Source organism: Homo sapiens, chromosome 6 (genome assembly GCF_000001405.40).
Source record: "Homo sapiens chromosome 6, GRCh38.p14 Primary Assembly".
In the NCBI taxonomy this organism is placed as follows: Eukaryota; Metazoa; Chordata; class Mammalia; order Primates; family Hominidae; genus Homo; species Homo sapiens.
Window position 1 is genome coordinate 118565353 of NC_000006.12, and position 21278 is coordinate 118586630.

At 41.5% G+C, this 21278-nt stretch overlaps 1 protein-coding gene and 1 long non-coding RNA gene across 16 annotated transcripts in view, besides 1 other annotated feature; one reads left to right on the forward strand and one right to left on the reverse strand.

Moving 5' to 3' along the window:
- The window catches only part of CEP85L (centrosomal protein 85L), a 249318-nt gene that overhangs the window by 104581 nt on the left and 123459 nt on the right, over positions 1–21278 (reverse strand). For all 12 annotated transcript variants that reach the window (XM_011535811.2, NM_001178035.2, XM_011535810.3 and 9 more), the window contains one exon: positions 177–964. In XM_011535811.2, the coding sequence (XP_011534113.1) occupies positions 177–890 (714 nt within the window). In that variant the 5' untranslated portion in view covers positions 891–964. The remainder of the gene's footprint in view (positions 1–176; positions 965–21278) is intronic.
- On the forward strand, positions 329–16946 carry LOC107986524 (uncharacterized). Of its 4 annotated transcripts, XR_002956384.2 has the most exons (5): positions 330–418; positions 2644–2719; positions 9143–9347; positions 10899–11123; positions 16377–16946. It is a non-coding gene; the product is annotated as an uncharacterized LOC107986524 (long non-coding RNA). The 4 variants fall into 4 exon arrangements; XR_001743819.3 differs by lacking the exon at positions 16377–16946 and having other exon boundaries at positions 2644–3393; positions 10899–13483; XR_007059724.1 differs by lacking the exon at positions 16377–16946 and having other exon boundaries at positions 10899–13483.
- Positions 8415–9614: an enhancer, noted in NCBI's record as "MED14-independent group 3 enhancer chr6:118894930-118896129 (GRCh37/hg19 assembly coordinates)". NCBI's record gives its function as "activates an origin of replication core promoter dependent on BRD2, BRD4, P300/CBP and CDK7 cofactors, and independent of MED14, by STARR-seq in HCT116 cells {active_cell/tissue: HCT116}" and the evidence as "EXISTENCE:reporter gene assay evidence [ECO:0000049][PMID:35650434]".

The following is a 21278-nucleotide window of genomic DNA, read 5'->3' on the forward strand; positions in this document are numbered from 1 at the left end:
ATGCTTTGCAAGTTTATCAACAACACTTTTCGGTTTGTAACATTTCTGCCTATTAACTTGCAGGGAAAAGGAAATGCAAAACAATCTGTGAACACTTGTTATATGCTTACTGTAAGTGTGCTACTGTACTCATAACATCCACTGGAGGGAAGCAAACACTAGATTTTGCACCTTACCTGCATTGGTGTTTCACTTCCTTGTCGAAAGTCTTCAATTTGCTGCTGTTGCCAAGGAGCTAAACTGTAAGAATCCTCTGTATTTCTACCTTCCAAAGGATTTGTCCGCAGCTGCTCTGTAAGCCACATCTGAGTCCTTACGGAAGGCTGAATGGGAACTCCACCTACTGCCTGTTGACCAAGCATTAAATATTTTGGAGGTTCAAAAGCCTCTGAGCTTGTCATAATGGGCTTGCTTTCAGGTAAGGCACTATATGTCATGTCTACAGGCTGTCTCCTAAGAGTAGAGGAAGAGGCTCTAAAGTCCTCCTTGCTACAGCTCTCAAATTTATACTTGCAGTCCAGAGTTGATGACCGTTTTTTATTTATTTCCTTGTCCTCTAACCTAAGCATCTCCATACTATCATGTAAACAGCTAGGCCCAATTGTCCTCAGTTGTGATGTTAAAGCCTTAGCCTTCCCTATCTTCTCCAAACCATTCCTTGACTCTTCTCTGCATACAGTGCCACCCTGGCCACAGTTATCCGGGGCAGTGAGTTTGGATAAAGATGACCATTTCCGAAGTGGCCGGAAGTCCTTCATGTCTAGGGAAGAGTCCTGCTCCCCCCTACTGTGGTTTCCCAATGTTTGCATGAGGCTTGTACTCCATTTTGAGCCATCTGGTGTCAATGATTCCCTAAGTTTGGAAATTGAAGCGCTGGAATTAGACGGCATCACATGGGCAGTAGGAAGAGTAATCAATGATTGACTAGGCTTAAAAGATAATGTGCCACTTGAAGTTGAATGATCTGGAAAGAAAAAAGATGGTCAAATTAGTTACAATTAACAGACAAAAGAGAATGAGGTAAAATGCAATATGCCAAAAGAAATATCTGAACATGGTTTCATAGCACAAGCTTTTTTTTTTGAGACGTAGTTTTAGCTTGTTGCCTAGGCTGGAGTGCAGTGGCAAGATCTCGGCTCACCGCAATCTCTGCCTCCTGGGTTCAAGTGACTCTCCTGCCTCAGCCTCCCGAGTAGCAGGGATTCCAGGCGCCTGCCAGCACGCCCGACTAATTTTTTGTATTTTTAGTAGAGACGGGGCTTTGCCATGTTGGGCAGGCTGGTCTCGAACTCCTGACTTAAGGTGATCTGCCTGCCTCAGCCTCCCAAAGTGCTGGGATTACAGGCATGAGCCACTGTGCCCAGCCCAGCACAAGCTTTTCAAAAAGACGTCCTCAAAATGAGTAAATTATTATTATCCTTTTATCTGAAACAAGTCAACATAGTTTCAGATTGGATTTTCTAAATATGGATACCTAATAGAGTATATGGCCTTTCACCATCTACTGTACTTACAGGTGAAAAGTGATTTAAAATAGGTTTATATTTACCCTAATTAAAGTATTGTACCTTTAAAAGGAAAAATCCAACTCCTTACTGAGAGGTGTTATTCATAATCCAGCAATGAAGTCTCAGACACAACTTTGTCAGAAAAATGGTATTTTTCAGTGTCTTTCCTGAACTGTGAAAATCTATGCCAGATCTAAACATTTTAGAACCTCCCCAAACTCTAATTCAAATGAGAAATATGAGTAAAGGTGCTCCTGCAATAATGAAAAATAGTCCCAAAGGGTTCACTTCCAGTCTCATTTAATGGCATATATATATGTGTGTACATATATGTATGAATATATATGTATGTGTGTGTGTGTGTGTGTGTGTGTGTGTGTGTGTGTGTGTATATATATATATATATATATATATATATATATATATATCCATATTCACCCCAAGCTAGAACCTTAGAGTCTACTTTTATTCCTTTCTCTCTATATTTATTAAATCCCCAAGTTGTACATTTTTACCTCCAAAATAGTTGAGTTTCTATTACTTTAGGTCAGGCCCTCACATCATACTCTTCTATACAAATGAATAGTTTTAGCAGACTAAATGAAAGGCTGAAAGATAAATAATGGCTTAAATACTCAATAAATTTACCATCAAGTGCCATGTTATCATCATATATATCAAATTAAAACCAAAGACTATAATTTTGTAATCAAGGGATATCTAGAAAGGGGGTAGCAATTTAAATTGGTGTGTGGGGAGGAAGTAAGCGATGGAGACCTTTGCAATTTATTCTGTATCTCCCCACACTGTTTGACTCTTATACCAGAAGATACTTATTACTTGTATTCTCTTACATTGTCTTATGGAAAAAGTTATGTTGATAAAGTTGTAAGAAAATTCAGATTAAAACGAGCCAGGTAGACTATTCAAAAAATAAAATTCCAGTGGGTCTTTGCACAGAATGTGTTAACTTGGACATGAAAAGGGAAAAACATTACAAATGAAGGAATATAAACAGAAGTATTGTAGTGGATAGTTATCATATTCAAGACTGCCTATCAGCTTCTGAAGAAACTTCCTGCATTTAGGAAAATTCTCACATTACTGACTCCAACCCTCCCAAAATATATTTCAGACCTCAAAATCCCAGTACACCCTGAAACTATGATGCAGACATTCAGAGGCAGCAGCACAAGATTGCAGTTTTGGAAGTAAGTCACATGATAAAATGGACTCGGTGTGGAGCTACCATTTTTGGGTGATACAGGCAACAGCAGAGGCATCACCTTTCCACAACAGCAGTGACAGACGTGGCCCCGTAGTGGCTGCAGAATCAAAATTCCTATCCCAGAACTGGCAGCAGCTAGACAGCTTAGTGGTGGAAGACTGACAGTTCTCATATATGATTTGAGGCATATTACTTGGAAGCTTATCCTTAAGCCTGGCTCTCCAGCCTTCCTAAAAATTCTGTGAAGCACCAAATATATTTAAGTAAATTTCCTATGTGCTCAACCAGCCAGTAAACAACTTCTGCTGACTGAAAACACTGAATCGTCCAATCATGAAGCCAAAAGAATGTGGCTGTATAACAAGAAAAATAAATCCATGTATCTACAGTATGGAGTTAAAGTGCCAAGAAAAGTTGTCAAGGTAACTCTTGATAGGTAAAGGTGAAGCAGAATTATACACATCTTCAAACGCTCTGCTAAGTAAAGAGCCTGGCCTTCATTCAGCATGAAATGTGGTATCACTGAGCTTCCAAACAAAGGAGTGAATGATATGATCAAAAAAATTGTACTTAAGATGACTGATTATTCTGACAGCAGAGTTGCCAATGGATTAAAGCAAAACAACTGGCAAACACAGTGATTAACAGACTATTCTGGTAATCAGGAGAACAAGAAAATAAAGGGGAATATGCTACTGAGGGTTGGTTCTAAATAGAAACAGGACAGACGTCCCCAAAAGTTTATGGAATATTTGTATTCACATATTATAGCATTATATATATTTTACATATATTTGTATTAATATTACTAAAGGAGTAGTTATACTAAAATCATCATAGCCTCTAAAAGATATCTTTAAATTAAAAAAAATAAAAAATTAGTCTTGTATCAAGTTGCAGGTAAAAATACAGACCAAAGGTTAAGTATAACAGTTTTAATTTCAAAACTATTATATAGAGTAAAATATAGGGCTGGGGGCAGTGGCTCACACCTGTAATTCCAGCAATTTGGGAGGCCAAGGCAGGCGGATTACTTGAGGTCAGGAGTTCAAGACCACCTTCACCAACAATAATGAAACTCCATCTCTACTAAAAATACAAAACTTAGCCAGGTGTGGTGGCAGGCGCCTGTAATCCCAGCTACACAAGAGGCTGTGGCAGGAGAATGGCTTGAACCTGTGAGGCGGAGGCTGCAGTAAGCAGAGATTGTGCCACTGTACTCCAGCCTGGGTGACAAGGCTAGACTCTGTCTCAAAAAAAAAAAAAAAAAAAAAAAAAAAGGAGTAAAATATACAGCCTTTTCATGGCACATGTATACATATGTAACAAACCTGCACGTTGTGCATATGTACCCTAGAACTTAAAGTATAATAAAAATATATATTCAAAAAAATAAATAAATAAAAATAAAAAAATAAAAAACATACAGCCTTTTTAGATTCAAATTCTGGCTCTATCACTCAGTAGTTATGCATGCTCAAACATGTTATTTAATAGTTAGTTACCTCCTCCATACAATGGAGATGACAACAGTGAGAATTAAATCAAAACACATAAAATACACAGAAGAATTCCTGGCAGAAAGCAAAATGTTAGTTATTATGATGTCATTAAAAAGCTACAAGTAAATATTAATTTCAATGTAACAGACAAAGGCTAAATACCCATACATATAAAGAGCTTCAACAAATCAACAAAAAAAAAACCTAGCAACTCAATTTTAAAATAGGCCAAAAAAATTCAATAAGTAAATAAACAAGAAACACAACTAGAGAATATATATTTTTTAAAAATCCTCAAACGCACTAATAGTAAAGATACATTCTCTATCATATTCAGAAAACTATTAAAGGCTGCAAATATACTACAGTAATGGGAACACAAACTGTTATAGTCTTTGAAAGAAGGGAGGCAATTTGTACATATCACTGTTTAAAATATGAATACACATATGTGAACATACATATCTAGATATGTAGATGCGTGCATATCTATATATAAATACATATACATTCATTAGCAGAGAAAAGATCCGAAAGAATACACACAAAACTTAATAAACAAAGGTAACCTCTACATAGTGGAAAGGGGGCAAAAGGAGAAAAATACTTCCACATTTTACTTTATACAATGTCTTATTTTAATTGCTTCCAAGGAATATAACTTGACCATATGGTCAAACTTCTGCAAAGGTATTTTGTTGTTCTGTGACCTCAAAAGAGTTTAAAATACTTCTAAAGTATGAATAATAAATAGGTAATTGTCTCACTTTCCATATCACAGCGGAATCCTCTAAGACCCAGTTTGGCTGCTTCTTGTATCCAGTAATGGGCTACTTTCCAATCTGCCTTTACTAACTCAGTACTTTCCAAATGCAAAGAAAAATCAGCAATGAGTGAAAAATCAATTTCACATCAGACTAGTGTTTATTCCCTAAATCTGAAAGCAGCTGATATATGCTGTCCATAGACTATGATACTGAATATAGAATTTATTCCTAAAATTCCCTTATTACAAATTCTCAAATCTTGGCATAAAAAAAGTTGCCTGAGAGCTGGTGCCCTACTCCAAGAGATTATGATCCAGTAAGAGTAGAGAAGGGCCTAGGAAATACCACTTCTAAATAAGTGATTTTGCTGCTTCATTTACTATAACATCATTCCATATGGGTCTGATTCCAGTTCTGAAGGCTTTAAGCTTAAATATCCCAAGTTCAACCATAACCAGTATCTGAGTTCTAGTGTAAAATCTGATTAACTGTGACATTCAGAATTCATTACTGTCAAAACTAAGGATCAAAGCTTAGTCTACTGACATACATATGCACACACACACACATGCACACACAACATATGAATAAATGAAAAAAGAATTATTTGAAAGAATTAAATATTTAGTATTTATAAGAGAATTAAATATAAGAATTAAAATTTTTAAATTAAATATTTAAGAATATATGAACAAAGAATATTTTCCCCCAGTATGAATATCTAGGTGGGAAAAGGGTCATTATTATACCTTAGAAATGAGTCTAGAAAATGTTAACTTTAACAATTTCAACACTTAAAAATGTTATTTTACCCTGAGGAAACACAGTTAATTAGAGGTAGATATAATGCAATTCCTAATGTGCTTGATTAGGCTACCTAATTGTAGCCACAAATCCCAAATGCAAGTTATTACTATCTATCCCACATCTAAGTCACAACAGTGATATCTGAAACCAACAGAGGGTAGTCCTTTTAAAAACAAGAATGTGGCTTATAGCATTGACAGTAGGCATAGATGAGCTAATGGTTTCAGACAGATTTAAGTTTTAAAGGCCAGAATATAAGAAAGGGACGCTGATATAGTCTGATAATGCAAGTGAGTTGTATTTAAGACAGCATATTTCTCAATTCCAAACAAAATCCCAATCTTCTGTTTCGCTATCATGTTATTCTCATCTGGTATTAAATGAAAACATTGATTCTATCTTCTCTTATATACAGGGATGGTATCTCTCTCTCTCTCTCTGTCTGCTCTATCCTTCTGATAGTAATAAGGAATTAAATGCAAAAAAAGACCACTCCCACCCTCCAGATCTACATTAAAGAATAAATCATCAGTCTTCACAGTTTAAAAAATAATCAGTAAACTATATAACCCTGTATCAAAACACTGATTTAAAATAACATTTTCATACTTATCAGTCAACATAAAATATTATAACAAATATTTTATTTTTTAAATAAAATTGTTAACCCTAACCACAAAGGCAATAATTTTGTTTTGTTTTGTTTTCTTGGAGACAGTTTTGCTCTTGTTGCCCAGGCTGGAGTGCAAGGGAACAATCTCAGCTCACCACAACCTCTGCCTCCCAGGTTCAAGCGATTCTCCTGCCTCAGCCTCCTGAGTAGCTGGGATTACAGGCAAGCACCACCACACCTGGCTAACTTTGTATTTTTAGTAGAGACGGGGTTTCTCCATGTTGGTCAGGCTGGTCTCGAACTCCCAACCTCATGTGATCTGCCCGCCTTGCCCTCCCAAAGTGCTGGGATTACAGGCGGAAGCCACCACTCCTGGCCCAGGTAATAATTTTTATACAACACAATGAGTTTTTTTTCCCTTCCTGCTAACGCCATGATCATATCATGTTACATAGGAAAAAAAAAACATGTTATGCCACATGTAACCCATTCTTTAAAAAAAAAAAAAAAAAAAAAAGGTGTATTCCTAGCACTTTGGGAAGCCAAAGTTGCCAGGTGACGAGGTCAAGATATCAAGACCATCCTGGCCAACATCGTGAAACCCCGTCTCTACTTAGAAAAAAACAAAAAACAAACACAAAAAAATTAGCAGGGTGTCCTGGTGGGCGCCTGTAGTCCCAGCTACTTGGGAGGCTGAGGCAGGAGATTCACTTGAACCCGGGAGGCAGAGGTTGCAGTGAGCTGAGATTGCGCCATTGCACTCCAGTCTGGAGACAGAGCGAGACTCTGTCTCAAATAAATAAATAAACAAATAAATAAATATTTCAAAGTATTCTCTATATTTTTAGGTAAATATATTTTAATATTCTAAACCACACACTGCTAGGAGTGGGGCTATATAAAGTAATTCATCTAAAGAGTCTCCTAGGAATGTATCATGTACAAGGCATTATGCTAGGTAGAAAAGACAATACAAACATATTAATCTCAATAAAAATATGAGGCCGGGTGCGGTGGCTCACGCCTGTAATCCCAGCAATTTGGGAGGCCGAGGCGGGCAGATCACCTGAGGTCAGGAGTTAGAGACCAGCCTGGCTAACATGGTAAAACCCATTTCTACTAAAAATACAAAAAATTAGCCGGGCGCAGTGGTGCACGCCTCTAATACCAGCTACTCGGGAGGCTGAGGCAGGAGAATCACTTGAACCCAGGAGGCAGAGGTTGCAGTGAGCTAAGACTGTGCCATTGCACTCCAGCTTGGGTAACAAGAGTGATACTCCGTCTCCAAAAAAAATAATAATAATAATATGAATCAGGCCTTCCCCTAAGGGCTTACATTTCACAGCTGCAGAGCAGGACTAAAGCTCATGAAGAAACTGCAAAACATCAGACAATGAGAAGTGGTGAGCCATGGAGAAAGGGCAAACTATTAATAAAACAACTATCAATGATAGCCAACTTCTCAACAGCAATAATGGAATCCAGAACACAATGGACTAATATCTTCAAAGGGTTGGGTAAATAACTGACATCCAAAAATTGTTTTTGCAGGGAAACTAAACTGTCTTTCCAGATAGAAAAATATATTTTCAGCTAAGCAAAAACAGAATTTGGAGACTCACTGAAAGAACTGCTAAAGTTCCTTGAGTTTATTTCAGAATAATGAATAATGAATTCTGAGTTGAAAAAAGGAAGAGCAAAGAGACAAATGGTAAACTTGTGATTAAATCTAAAAAACAGTAACAATGCATACAACAATAAAAACAATATCTAACATGTGGTTAAAAGTAAAAATATATATACTTAGCAACCATGACATATAACTCACAACAGGGGTGACTGGTATTCCAACGTTTTATAGTCCTCATATTTACCAGTAGAGAATAAAGATTCTGATTACCATTATAGATAGATGGGTATATATTATACCATTATAGATGGGTATATATTATAATTTCTATATTAAAAACCAGAAGATACGTAGAGATGGTGTGACTGGATAGCCACAGGCAAAAGAATAAAGTTAGACCCCTATTTCATAGCACCCATGAATATTAATTCAAATGAATCAATAGGCCTAAATGTAACAGCTAAAACTATAAAACTCTTAGAAGAAACTAAATAAAATTCATAAAAGAAATCTTCATGACCTTGTACACTGTCTCTTAGCAACCATTAATAACAAACTAAGAAATTTATTCTTATATGCTTACATAAAGCAAGATGAAAAGCTGGTGTTAAGGACAATAAGTTCTTCTTCAAAGCTCCCTTGGTCTCTTGCTTTGTACACAGCCCTTCCTGCTCAATCTGTAATGAGCATGTGTTCCTCAGCGTAATCTGTAACTAGCAAACCTCTTACTCTGTAAACAACTCTTTGTCAGCCCAGACATGTCCAGACATGCCTTGAACTTGTTCTGTAGGCAACTCTTCCCACCTTAGCAACAATCTCCTCCTCCCCTCCTCTCTTAGCAAATTGCATGTTCACCATAGTTAGAAAAGTTTAAGTCTTAGCCAGTCAGGTTAGTTTAGATGGTTTGGTCCGACCCCAGCCAATGGGGAAATAACACAGAAACAGGAACTGCATTAGGGATAAAAACCCTTCTCTCCTTTGTTCAATGTGCTCTTGCGATCGTTACTGACGCAGGCACCACCCTTCTGCAGAAGTAAATTGCCTTGCTGAGAAAACGTTTTGCCTGAGTGCTGGTTCTTCTTTGTAGCACTGAGCAAAGAATTACCCATCTGGGATATCATTCTCCTCCGGGAAAGGGTCTCCAATCACCTCTCATAAGGAGACATGTCCTGCTGCCTCACTGCGGTGGCCTCAGGGGTAAGGAATCAGAACCCACCCAGTGTGAAGAATAAACCTGGACTCTCGGCAACACAGGAAGAAAAAGCCTACAGTACAGATACCACGGCGACAAGGTAACTCTGTGCACAGACCAAAGTAGGAAAAGCCAGGGGGCAGCAGGAGTACTTCCTTGGTGGTGGGGACATCCTGGAGGTTGAAAGTGTGTGAATGAGACATACAATTAAGTGCGAAGCGAGTGTGGAGTCCAGATCCATGGTTCCATGGTCACCTGATATGCCTTAGGGTAGCTTTCCTGTCGAGGGTTTATACCAACCTAAATTCCTGCGAGGGAAGTGACCAGAGAAGGAAGAAGTGAAAGCAAAGGAGTGCAAGAAACCTCCAGTTGGTTGGGGGGCGGGGGCAGTGGTGAGCCTCTAGGGAAAAGGTGCAAGAAATCTCTAGTAAACAGAGGTTGAGCCCCATACACACACAAGAAACTCGAGTTGAGCCGTAGAGAAAGGGTGCAAGAAATTTCTATTAGGAGAGGTTGAGCTCCACTGACTCAGGAAAACTCAGGAAGCACCTAAAACTTCCAGGATGGGAAATACCCCAGACAAGGCAGGGAATCAAAAGGAAAAGACAGACAATATAATTCCCTCTGATAGCTCTCTAGGTCTCATGTTAAAATATTGGAGAGAAAATGAAAGCACCAAACATAAAAAGAAGCAACAAATAATAAAATATTGTTGCTTTATTTAAACCAAAGAACCTACTCTCAAACATTCAGTTTTCTGGCCAAGGTTTGAATCCAGTTAGGACTGGATTTGTCAACTTTTAATAGAATATGTCAATGACAAAAGTCCTGTTTCCCAGGAGGAAATAAACTATGCCCTGTGTTGGCGGCAAGTGCCTGTCATCCTATATCCCCTAAAAACTACAGGAGACAAGCCAGAAACTACTTACCCTTTAGATCACCTTCCCCCGCCAAACACCTCTAACTTCCCTCCCCACTTCAAGCAAATGCAGAAAAAATTAGGAGCTGAAGAAAACACAGAAGGAAAGTGTGTATTACCAGATGGAAGGGAAATGTTGTCTAAACCTCTTGAGAGAAATACTGTCTCAGCTTCATCAAGGAACTCATTGGGGTCCTCAAGCTATATGTGATGCAGTCCTTAGAGTCTATGGGTACATAGGAATACAAACCCTCGCTAAGCAAGTAGTGGATAGTTGCATAGTGTGCAGAAAAACTAATGAGTAAACCCTAAAAAAAAAACCTCCCGGGGGAAGAAATCCAGGGTTAAGGCCATGCCAAAGCATCCAAGTTGACTATACTGAAATGCCCCCAACAGGCCGCCTCAAGTATTTACTAGTAATAGTAGACCACCTTACCCACTGGGTAGAAGCTCTCCCCTTCCCAAGGACAACAGCCAGTAATGTAGTCAAAGCCCTGTTAGAACATATCATACCCAGGCACTAGAAATAAAATGGGAATATTATACTCCCTGGCATCTGTCCTCATCAGGGAAAGTAGAAAAAAAAATGAACCAAAATCTAAAAAATCACCTAACCAAATTAATTCTGGAAACCTGGTTACCATGGACAAGATGCCTTCCTATTGCCTTACCAAGAATCCAAACTGCCCCCCTCAAAAAGACCTTAGCCTGTCTGTCTCTTTCCTCCCTCAGGACTCAAGGCCTCCTAGCGAGATTACATCCTTGTCAAAGGTTGGAAAGAGGGAAAGCTCAAACCCACCTGGGAAGGACCTTACCTGGTACTCCTAACAACTGAAATAGCACTCCGGAAAGCCGAAAAAGGGTGAACCCACCACACAAGTGAAGAAGGCCCCACCTCTGGCAAAGTCATGGACCATCACTCCAGGACCAACAGCCTCAAAACTAACATTCAAACGGGTTTGTCTTTTTCTTCTCCCCTTAGCTACTCAAGGATATCTTACTGTTAATGTAACTATGCTTGTCTAGTCTTACCTTGTGGAGATCTCCAAAGTCAAAGACAGTTAGCTTGTACAGAAAAGTACTTCTGCCCCTCTGTGGAAAGAGTTAATACTCCTGTGTCTTGCATATGGGGGGAATCCTCAGAGGAAGAGTTAGGCAATTGGGGGTTATGGTCTCAGTGGGCAGTTTTAGGGCACTGCCCTAAAACCATACCTACACTTCACCAAAGGGGCCACCCCTTCTGACTGTCAATCTAATCATTGCAATCCAGTACTTATCCATTGTAAAAATTAAAGATCTAAAGCAAACCATAGCCATTGAAACACGGTACCAAGATGCAAATGCCTGGCTGGAATAGATTAAATATTCCATCTGCACGCTAAACAAAAGCGATTGTTACGCTTGTGCGACAGGTAGGCCAGAAACCCAAACTGTCCCCTTTCCACTTGATTGATCCTCTGATCAACCGGGCATGAACTGTATGGTAGCCCTCTTCCAAAATCCCACAGCCTGGGGCAGTAAGGCATGTCAAACCCTCTTGCTGCTATTCCTAGAAGTGAAAAGCCCTGCAGGTCGGCCCCTGAGGGCTATCCAACCCCGTACTACAAATATCAATTTCACCTCGTGTCTCTCACGGCAAGGGGAAAATTTGGCATTCCTTGGGAGTCTAATGGGATGCAGTGAATCTAAGCCTTTTCAACAGCTAACCAATCAGTCTGCCCTTGTTCATCCCCAAGCAGATGTATGGTGGTATTGCAGTGGACCACTATTGGATACTCTGCCAAGTAACTGGAGCGGCACTTGCGCTCTAATCCAATTGGCAATCCCTTTCACTCTGGCATTTCATCAACTAAGCAAAAAGGACAATCGTGAAAAAAGAAGTACCCCCCACGGGTCCTTTGACCCTCACATTTATATAGATGCCATCAGAGTTCCACAAGGGGTGCCAAATGAATTTAAAGCCCAAAATCAAATCGCTGCAGGATTTGAATCTGTATTGTTCTCGTGGGTAACTATAAAGAAAAATGTAAACTGGATAAATTACATTTACCATAATCAACAGCAGTTTGTCAGTTATACTAGGAATGCCATTAAAGGAACAGCTGAACAATTAAGTTCTACCAGCCAGATGGCCTGGGAAAACAGAATAGCCCTGAACAAAATATTAGCTGAAAAAGGTGGGGTCTGTGTCATAATTGGGGCCCAATGCTTACAGAGCCTTAACACCCTAGCAAATGAATTAGCCAAAAATTCTAAAATAGAATTCTAGAATTCTTCTCTAGTCTCACGGAAAAATGGTTTAGAAAATGGAAGGGACTCATAACCTTTACTCCCCTTGCAATTATTATAGGTGTACTCATTCTTGTAGGTTGCTGCATCATACCTTGTATTCGTGGATTAGTGCAAAGGCTTATAGAAAAAGCCTTCACCAAAACCCCTCATGATTCTCCCCTGCCCTACTCACATAAGTTCGTACTCCTAAATGACCAAGAGGAACAACAAATCTAAAATATGTTAAAGAAATTTGAAGGGGAAGAACTATAAAATCAAGAGAGGGAAACTGTTAAGGACAGTAAGTTCCTCTTCAAAGTTCCCTTGGTCTCTTGCTCTGTACACAGCCCTTCCTGCTTGATCTGTAACGAGCACTTGTTCCTCAGCTTAATCTGTAACTAGCAAACCTCTTACTCCGTAAACATCTCTGTCACACCCAGACATGTCCAAACACCCCTTAAACTTATTCTGTAGGCAACTCTTCCCACCTTAGCAACAGACAGTCTCTCCCTCCCCTCCTCTCTTAGCAAACTGCGTGTTCACCATATTTAGAAAGGTTTAAGTCTTAGCCAATTGGGTTAATTTAGATTGTTTGGTCCAACCCTAGCCAATGGGGAAAGGACACAGAAACAGGAACTGTGTTAGGAATAAAAACCCTTTGGCCGGGAGCGGTGGCTCACGCCTGTAATCCCAGCACTTTGGGAGGCTGAGGCGGGCGGATCACGAGGTCAGGAGATTGAGACCATCCCAGCCAACATGGTGAAACTTGTCTCTACTAAAAATACAAAAATTAGCTGGGCGTGGTGGTGGGCGCCTGTAATCCCAGCTACTCAGGAGGCTGAGGCAGGAGAATGACTTGAACCCAGGAGGCGGACGTTGCCATGAGCCGAGACCGCGCCACTGCACTCCAGCCTGGTGACCGGGCAAGACTCCATCTCAAAAAAAATAAATAAATAAAAATCCTCTCTTTTGTTCGGTGTGCTCTCGCGAGCGTGACTGATGCAGGCAGCACCCTTCTGTAGAAGTAAATTGCCTTGCTGAGAAAACTTTTTGCCTGAGTGCTAGTTCTTCTTTGCGGCACCGAGCACTTGTTTCTAACACTGGTTTTTTGTTTGAGTTTTTTTGAGACAAAGTCTCACTCTGTCACCCAGGCTGGTGTGCAATGGTGTGATCTTGGCTCACTGTAGCCCCAACCTCCCAAGCTCTAGAAATACTCCCATCTCAGCCCCCCAAGTAGCTGGGACTACAGGCATGTGCCACAACACCCAGCTAATATTTGTATTTATTGTAGAGACATTGTTTCACCATGATACCAAGGCTGGTCTTGAACTCTTAGGCTCAAGCAATCTGCCTGCCTTGGCTTCCCATAGTGTTGGGATTACAGGTGTGAGCCACCACGCCTGGCTGAAAAGCTGTTTTTAAAAATCAAAAAACAAAAAAACAGGCATTCTGATCTCTAGCCAGATTACTGCCAATTTAAAGGACAATTTGATGTATGGTTCAAAGAGGTCAACAATTCAAAATAAAATATTTTCCAATTTGGTCAAGGGGTGGGGACGGGCGGGAAGCTGGTCAGAAAAAAAAAAAAACAGTGACTTTTTACATTTACCAAAAAAAATTAGAATTTTTTTCTTGCCTGCCTTTTAAAATTTCATTCAACTCTACTATTTTCTGGACATCTCACACTAGTTTCAACTTAAGATTAAGTCTCATCAGGCAGTTGACCTGTAGAGAGCTGTAAGTGTTACTTCTCTCCTACAAAAATTTTTACAAATCAAACTATCATGGGATGTAAGTTTTGAAAACACAAAGTTTCTTAGAAATAAAACTATTACTTTATGATAGGACAGATAATAAATGATAATCTGGTCCTTAATCTACCTGCACTGTTTGGAGAGATATGGAGTCAATAATCTCCCTATGTTATAGGAGTTATTAAGAAATTATTTTAGGCAGATAGAGAAGACAAGGGGTCCTTGGCAAGTTTCTTTTCTTTTAAGGCAGCTCCAGATACATTTCTTGCATAGCAGAAAAATGGCCTGAAGGGCGGGCCAGCAAGCTTTGATATGCAAATGCCAGCCATTAGAAACTGGGTCCACTCAATATGGCAATTCCCACCTTCTTCTTGTCACTACAAGTGCCTAGCATCATGGCCACCCCCACATATCCCCACGTGTGTAGAACATCATGGTGCCCTGCATTTGCATATTAAAAGGCTAGGGTGGGAGGACCAGATTTTTGTGGGCTACATGAATGACATACCTGGTCAACCCAATCCCCTGGACTCTATGCAAATCAGACACCAGCTCCTCCAGCCTCCTAATATAAATGGCTGTTTTCTGCTGCACTCAGGGTTCCCTCTCTCAGCTTGGAGCCCCCTCCCTCTGTCTCTGTATGGGGGAGCCCCTTCCTTCTTTCTTGCCGATTTATTAAACTCTCTCCGCTCCTTAAAACCACTCCACGTATATCCATGTCGTCGTATTTAAACTGGCGTGAGAAAAGGACCCTGGTATTCCCCTCCAGTCATCAGAGTCGTATCATTTTGGTGCACTGGCCGGGAATCCGAGGTACAACATTCACTGAAGTGGTGATTATACAAGCGAGCTTAAAATCTGTTCTATCATTCTGAGGTGCTCTTGGCCTCTATTTTAAAATCAAATCAAATCAATCAAAAGGCATCTATCTGTCTGCTGGTTAGCTACACTTATCGTTGGCTGCTGTTCTAAAGACTCAGATGTGAGGCTTGCTGGTGAGAACATGGAGAACCCCCCAATACCCACAGGTGATTGGGAATGTTGGCCGTATTTCGAATCAGCTTCCTTTCATGGGGAGACCTCGCCGTTGCGCAAGGCTGGGAAAAGTTCTGAGGCAACTGAGCATCTCTGGGCAGGGCACACCCTGGTGTGACTCAAAGACCTCTGGACCAGACCCAGCCTCCAACAGCCCATTTCAGGTGCTGGCAGAGAATCCTCAGCTATCCGGTCATGAAACTTTCCTTCCTTTTCTATCTGTGGTCTCTTACTCTGTGTGTATGTGTCAACTGTGTGGGAATTTAGTAACCGGGAGTTTAACTCAAGAATGCCATTGCAATCTCCTGAACAGAGGGTTCCTCCGGGACAGTGAGCCTCTCTCTCTCAGCCCCTTGGTCTGGAGAGCACACGGCATTTCCAGGTCTCTCTACCGCTTGTCTGAGGAGCACACAGTATTTCTAAGCCAACAGTGCCACCTAGAGGAAACAGAAATCCTCTACATGAGGCACTTTTTTTAATGCTAACACTGCAGCTTCCTTTTGCACTGCTAGAAATCAGGCTCTAAGCCTCTTCCAGGAATGGGAAAATTCTGCTTTCAACAGTTAGAAATTAAATGTCTTCCATAGCCAAATTTTAGTCTCAATATTGTCCCATCAGCAGGAAAACAGCCATTTGGTTCCTACATTTCTTTAAGTCACCTATTCTGTCTCCAACAGAGACAGTACTTAATTAGTAAGGGGATTTTAAGTCTGGAAGTTAACTGAAACCATTTTTCTAAGGGTAAATGCTTTAGCATGGGCCATAATAGCAGGATATAGAGTTCAATCTAGCATAACCCCTCCATTAAAGGGGCCTTCCCCAATTACACAGTTTTCCCTGAGATCCATTTTTTTTTAGGGAGGTACACAGGTCACACAAGTCTAGGAGGTCAAAGGGAAATAACAAGCAGAGGACTGGGACTACTTGGGTAAGTGTGACTAGGCCTCAAAAGTCTAGTTTCTCTGGTGCCATGGCTTGGAGGGTCACACCTACAGCCACAGGCGGCACATTTAACTGGGTGCCGGGACCCAGGAACCAGGGAGGGAGACTAGTTAGAGGAATGCCCCCTACTGTTTTCTTCTCCACCCTGAGTCATACACCAAAAGGAAGGAGACTAAAAGGACACTTTTATTCTCACTTCTCTTTCTAGATGGCCAACAGATCGTCTTCAGCATGCACTCCTCTGGAATGTATTTTAAAGCACTGGGACTCCTTCAACCCTGAGACTTTGAAAAAAAAGTGACTCATATTCTATTGCACAAGAGCATAGCCTTCTTACTATCTTGGGGACAGATAAACCTGGCCCGCTGCGGGGAGCCTTGATTTTAATATTATCCAACAGTTAGATCTTTTCTCCAAACAGAAGGGCAAATGGACTGAGATCCCCTATGTACAGACTTTCTTTGCCCTGTGAAACAGCCCAGACCTTTACAAGTTCTGTACAATTGACCCAGTTCTTTTAGCGGCCACAGGGAATCGTTCCCCAGAGCTAAAGCAGGTTCCAGAGGAGCAATCTGAAACAGCTATTGAATGTCCCAATCCTTCCAGTCCCCCTCCAATCATACTATCAGCTCCTCCAGCTCCACTATCTCCAGTATATCCTACTCTCCCCGCTTCATTCTTACCTCTGCAGGAAATGGCTGATAGGAATGGTGCCATGAGGGTTCAAGTTTCCTTCTCATTACAGGACCTTAAGCAAATAAACAGAGACTTGGCCCAATTTTCTGATGACTCCGATAAGTATATAGAAATTTTCCAAAATTTAACTCAGGTGTTTGATCTCACATAGAGGGATGTTATGTTGCTGCTAAGTCAGACCCTCACTGGGGCTGAAAAGCCAGCAGTTCCACAGGCAGCAGAAAAATATGGATATAAGCAACATGCCTCCTGTAGCAGACCAAGGAGAAAAAGAGGAGACAAGGAAGGTAAGGAAGAAGTGGAAACTCCATTCCCACTAGGAAGGGAAGCAGTTCCAGCGGACAACCCTGATTGGAACCCCAATAACGCAGGAAATGAATGGAAAAGGAAGCACTTCTTAAGGTCTATGTTAGAGGGCCTATGGAAGACCAGGGCCAAACCTCTCGATTACTCTAAACTATCTATGATAGACCAGATGAGAATCCCACAGCCTTTATGGAAAGGCTAAGAGAGGCACTAATAAAACACACCTCTTTATCATGATTCAGTCGAGGGACAGCTAATCCTGAAGGACAAGTTTATTACACAGTCAGCTCCCGATATTGGAAAGAAACTACAGAAACAAGCTATAGGACCAGATAGCACCCTAGAGAACCTCCTGAGAATAGCCACTTCAGTCATTTACAATACAGATCAGGAGGAGGCCCAAGAAAAGGAAAGGAAATATAAGTGAAGAACAGAGGCTCTAGTAGCAGCATTGCACGCTTGTAAAGTCCAGGATCCCTGAGGTGCATCTGCTAGCTGTTATCAATGTGGCAAGTCAGGGCATTTTAAGAGGGAATGCCCAGGCAGCAAGACGAAGCCACCTTGACCCTGTCCAGCCTGTGGCGGAGACCACTGGAGATGGATCTGCCCCCAGAGGCAGAGGTCGCTGGGTTCAGAACCAGTCTCATAGATGGTCCAGCAGGACTGACGGGTCCCGAGGCTTAAACCCCCGGCTCCAGCGACTCAGACTGCCATTACAGCACAGGAACCCTGAGTGATTCTGGAAATTGAAGGAAGGAAGGTAGATCTCCTTCTGGATACTGAAGCCAGTCTCTTGCTCCTCCTCTCTAATTCAGGCCTCCCCTCTTCCCAGAGCACAACCATAAGGGGTGTATCACGAAAAACTCTAACCCAATATTTTTCTCAACCCCTTTTGCAGATGGGGAGACTTACTATTTAAACATGCCTTTTTAATCACGCCTGAAAGTCCCACTCCTTTATTAGGTAGATATATTCTAGCTTGCATGGGGGCCTGCAGCATCTTTACAGCCCCAGGACAAACTCTATCTCCCCCTGATGGAAGCTAACATTAATGTGGAAGTGTGGGCAACTTAAGGAAGAATAGGTTGAGCTATAACCACTACGCCAGTCCAGATCTATCTTAAGGATCCCACTTCTTTTCCTAACCAGAGATATTATCCCTAAGGCCAGTGGCTAGGAAAGGGCTAGAAGCCATTATTAATAACCTAAAGATGCAGGGCCTCCTCAAACCCTGTAATAGCCCCTGCAACACCCCAATATTAGGAGCACAGAAACCCAATGGGGAATGAAGCCTGGTTCAGGACCTTCGCCTCATTAATGAAGCTGTAGTTCCAATCCATCCAGTGGTCCCTAATCCCTATACCCTGTTAACTCAAATACCTGAGGGAACTAAATGGTTTACAGTCCTAGATTTAAAGGATGCCTTTTTCTGTACACCGTTACATCCTGACTGTCAATACCGGTTTGCCTTCAAATATTCCTCCAGCCAGACGCCCAGTTAACACTGACGGTGCTGCCTCAGGGATTTTGAAATAGTCCTCATCTGTTTGGACAGGCACTGTCACAAGACCTCTCTGAGTTCTCTCAACCTTAAGTTAAGGTCTTGCAGTATGTTGATGATATTCTGCTATGTGCCCCAACTGAGGATGCTTTTCAGGAAGGCACTGAAGCTCTTCTCAATATGTTAGCTAACAGAGAATATAAAGTTTCAAAACCCAAGGCCCAGCTCTGCAAAACCTCAGTGAAGTACACCTAGGCTTAGTGCTGTCTGAGGGGACCAGAGCATTAGGGAAGGAGGGAGTTGAGAATATTTCTTCCTTTCCCCTCCCCAAAACCCTCAAGCAACTCAGAGGATTTTGGGGCATTACAGGATTTTGTAGACTATGGATACCTGGGTATGGTGAAATAGGCTGTCCATGATATAACCTCATAAAATAAACTCAAGGAACTAAAACTCATCTTTTAACCTGGGAATCTGAAGCTCAAAAGGCCTTTGACCAGCTAAAGCAAGCCTTGCTTAAGGCACCAACTTTCACCCTTCCTATAGGGAAGGACTTCAATCTGTATGTATCAGAAAAGAAGGGAATGGCCCTGGGAGTATTAACACAGGCCCAAAGACCAGGCCAACAGCCAGTGGGTTGCCTAAGTAAGGAACTTGAGTTGGTGGCTAAAGGATGGCCAGCATGCCTCCCCGCCATTGCCTCAGTGGCTCTGTTGGTCCCAGAAGCCTCCAAATTAACTCTGGAAAATGATTTAACTATTTATGCCCCACCTAACGTGGCAGGACTACTGCACTTTTGGGGGAGCCTTTGGCTAACAGATAGCTGACTTCTTAAATATCAGGCCCTGCTGTTAAAGGGTTCCAACATCCAATTAAAGAATTGTTCTCACCTAAATCCAGCCGCCTTCCACCAGGAGGAAACTGGGGAATCTGAGCATGACTATGAACAAATCATAGTACAGACCTATGCAGCCAGGGAAGATCTCAAGGAAACTCCCCTAGAGAACCCAGACTGGACCCTCTTGACAGATGGGAGCTCTTTTGTAGAACAAGGAATCTGTAAGGCAGGATACACAGTAGTCACTCTACATGACATCACTGAAAGTGTGTCACTCCCTCCAGGCACAAGCGCTCAATTAGCTGAGCTAATCGCTCTTACAGAAGCAATTGAATTAAGCAAAGGAAAGGTAGCTAACATTTACACAGACTCCAAATATGCTTTCCTGGTTCTCCATGCTCATGCTGCCATTTGGAACGAAAGGCATTTTCTTACCACCGATGGATCTCCTATAAATACCTCCAGGAAATTAACAGGTTATTATCCTCAGTTTTTCTTCCATGAGAAATAGCAGTGATGCATTGTAGGAGACATCAAAAGGGAACAGATGAGGTAGCCAAAGGAAACAGATTAGCTGATCAGGCAGCTAAGTCAGCAGCAAGGAAGGCTCAAGACAACACACTTCAAACCCCTCTAATCTGGGAAGGCTCCATGAGAGAAATTAAACCTCAGTACTCCCCCACAGAAATAGGATGGGCCACTTCTCGAGGGTATACATTTCAGCCCTCAGGATGGCTACAGTCACAAGATGGCAAACTCCCCTTGACGGCCTCCAGCCAATGGAAAGTCCTTAAAGTGCTTCACCAAGCTTTTCACTTGGGAGAGGATAAAACTTATCAATGTGCCCAGAGATTGTTTTCAGGAAAGAACTTACTAAAAACAATCAAGCAAGTTGTTCATGCTTGTGAAGTCTGTCTTAAAAATAATCCCCTGAACAGGCGACTCCTTCCTCCTCAAACCCAAAGAACAAAAAGATACCCAAGGGAGGAGTGGCAGGTAAACTTCACCCACATGCCAAAGACAAAGGGCATTCAATACCTGCTGTATGGGTAGATACCTTCACTAACTGGGTAGAAGCATTTCCATGTTGTACAGAAAAAGCCTCTGAGGTAATAAAAGTATTAGTTAATGAAATAACTCCCTGCTTTCATCTATCCAAGTACCTTCAAAGTGACAATGGGCCCTCATTTAAGGCAGCTGTCACACAAGGGATCTCAAAAGCACTAGGCATAGAATATCATCTCCATTGGGCTTAGAGACCCTAATCCTCAGGAAAGGTAGAGAAAACTAATGATATTACCAAGAGACACACCAGAAAATTGTCCCAAGAAACTCACCTTCCTTGGGTCACTCTTCCTCCCACGGCCTTACTACGAATAAGAGATACCCCTTGAAAATTAGGTCTTAGCTTTTTTGAAATGCTGTATGGACACACTTTCCTTACCAATGATTTTTCTATTAGATCGGGAAACCTCTGAGCTAGTTAAGCATGTAACCTCTCTGGCTCACTTCCAACAGGAATTAGCACAATTAGCGAAAACCCAATCCCAGGAAATTGGACCACCTCTATTTAACCCAGGAGATTTGGTACTGGTAAAGGATCCTCCTCTCTCTCTCCCTTCCTAAGCCCAACCTAGGAAGGGCCTCACACTGTTCTTCTTCCAACTCCCCCAACAATAAAAGGTACAGGAATCGACCGACTCCTGGAAACATCACACTCAAGTCAAAGCCTGGAGAGCTGAGGGAGCAACCCCCAACAGCCCAGAGGA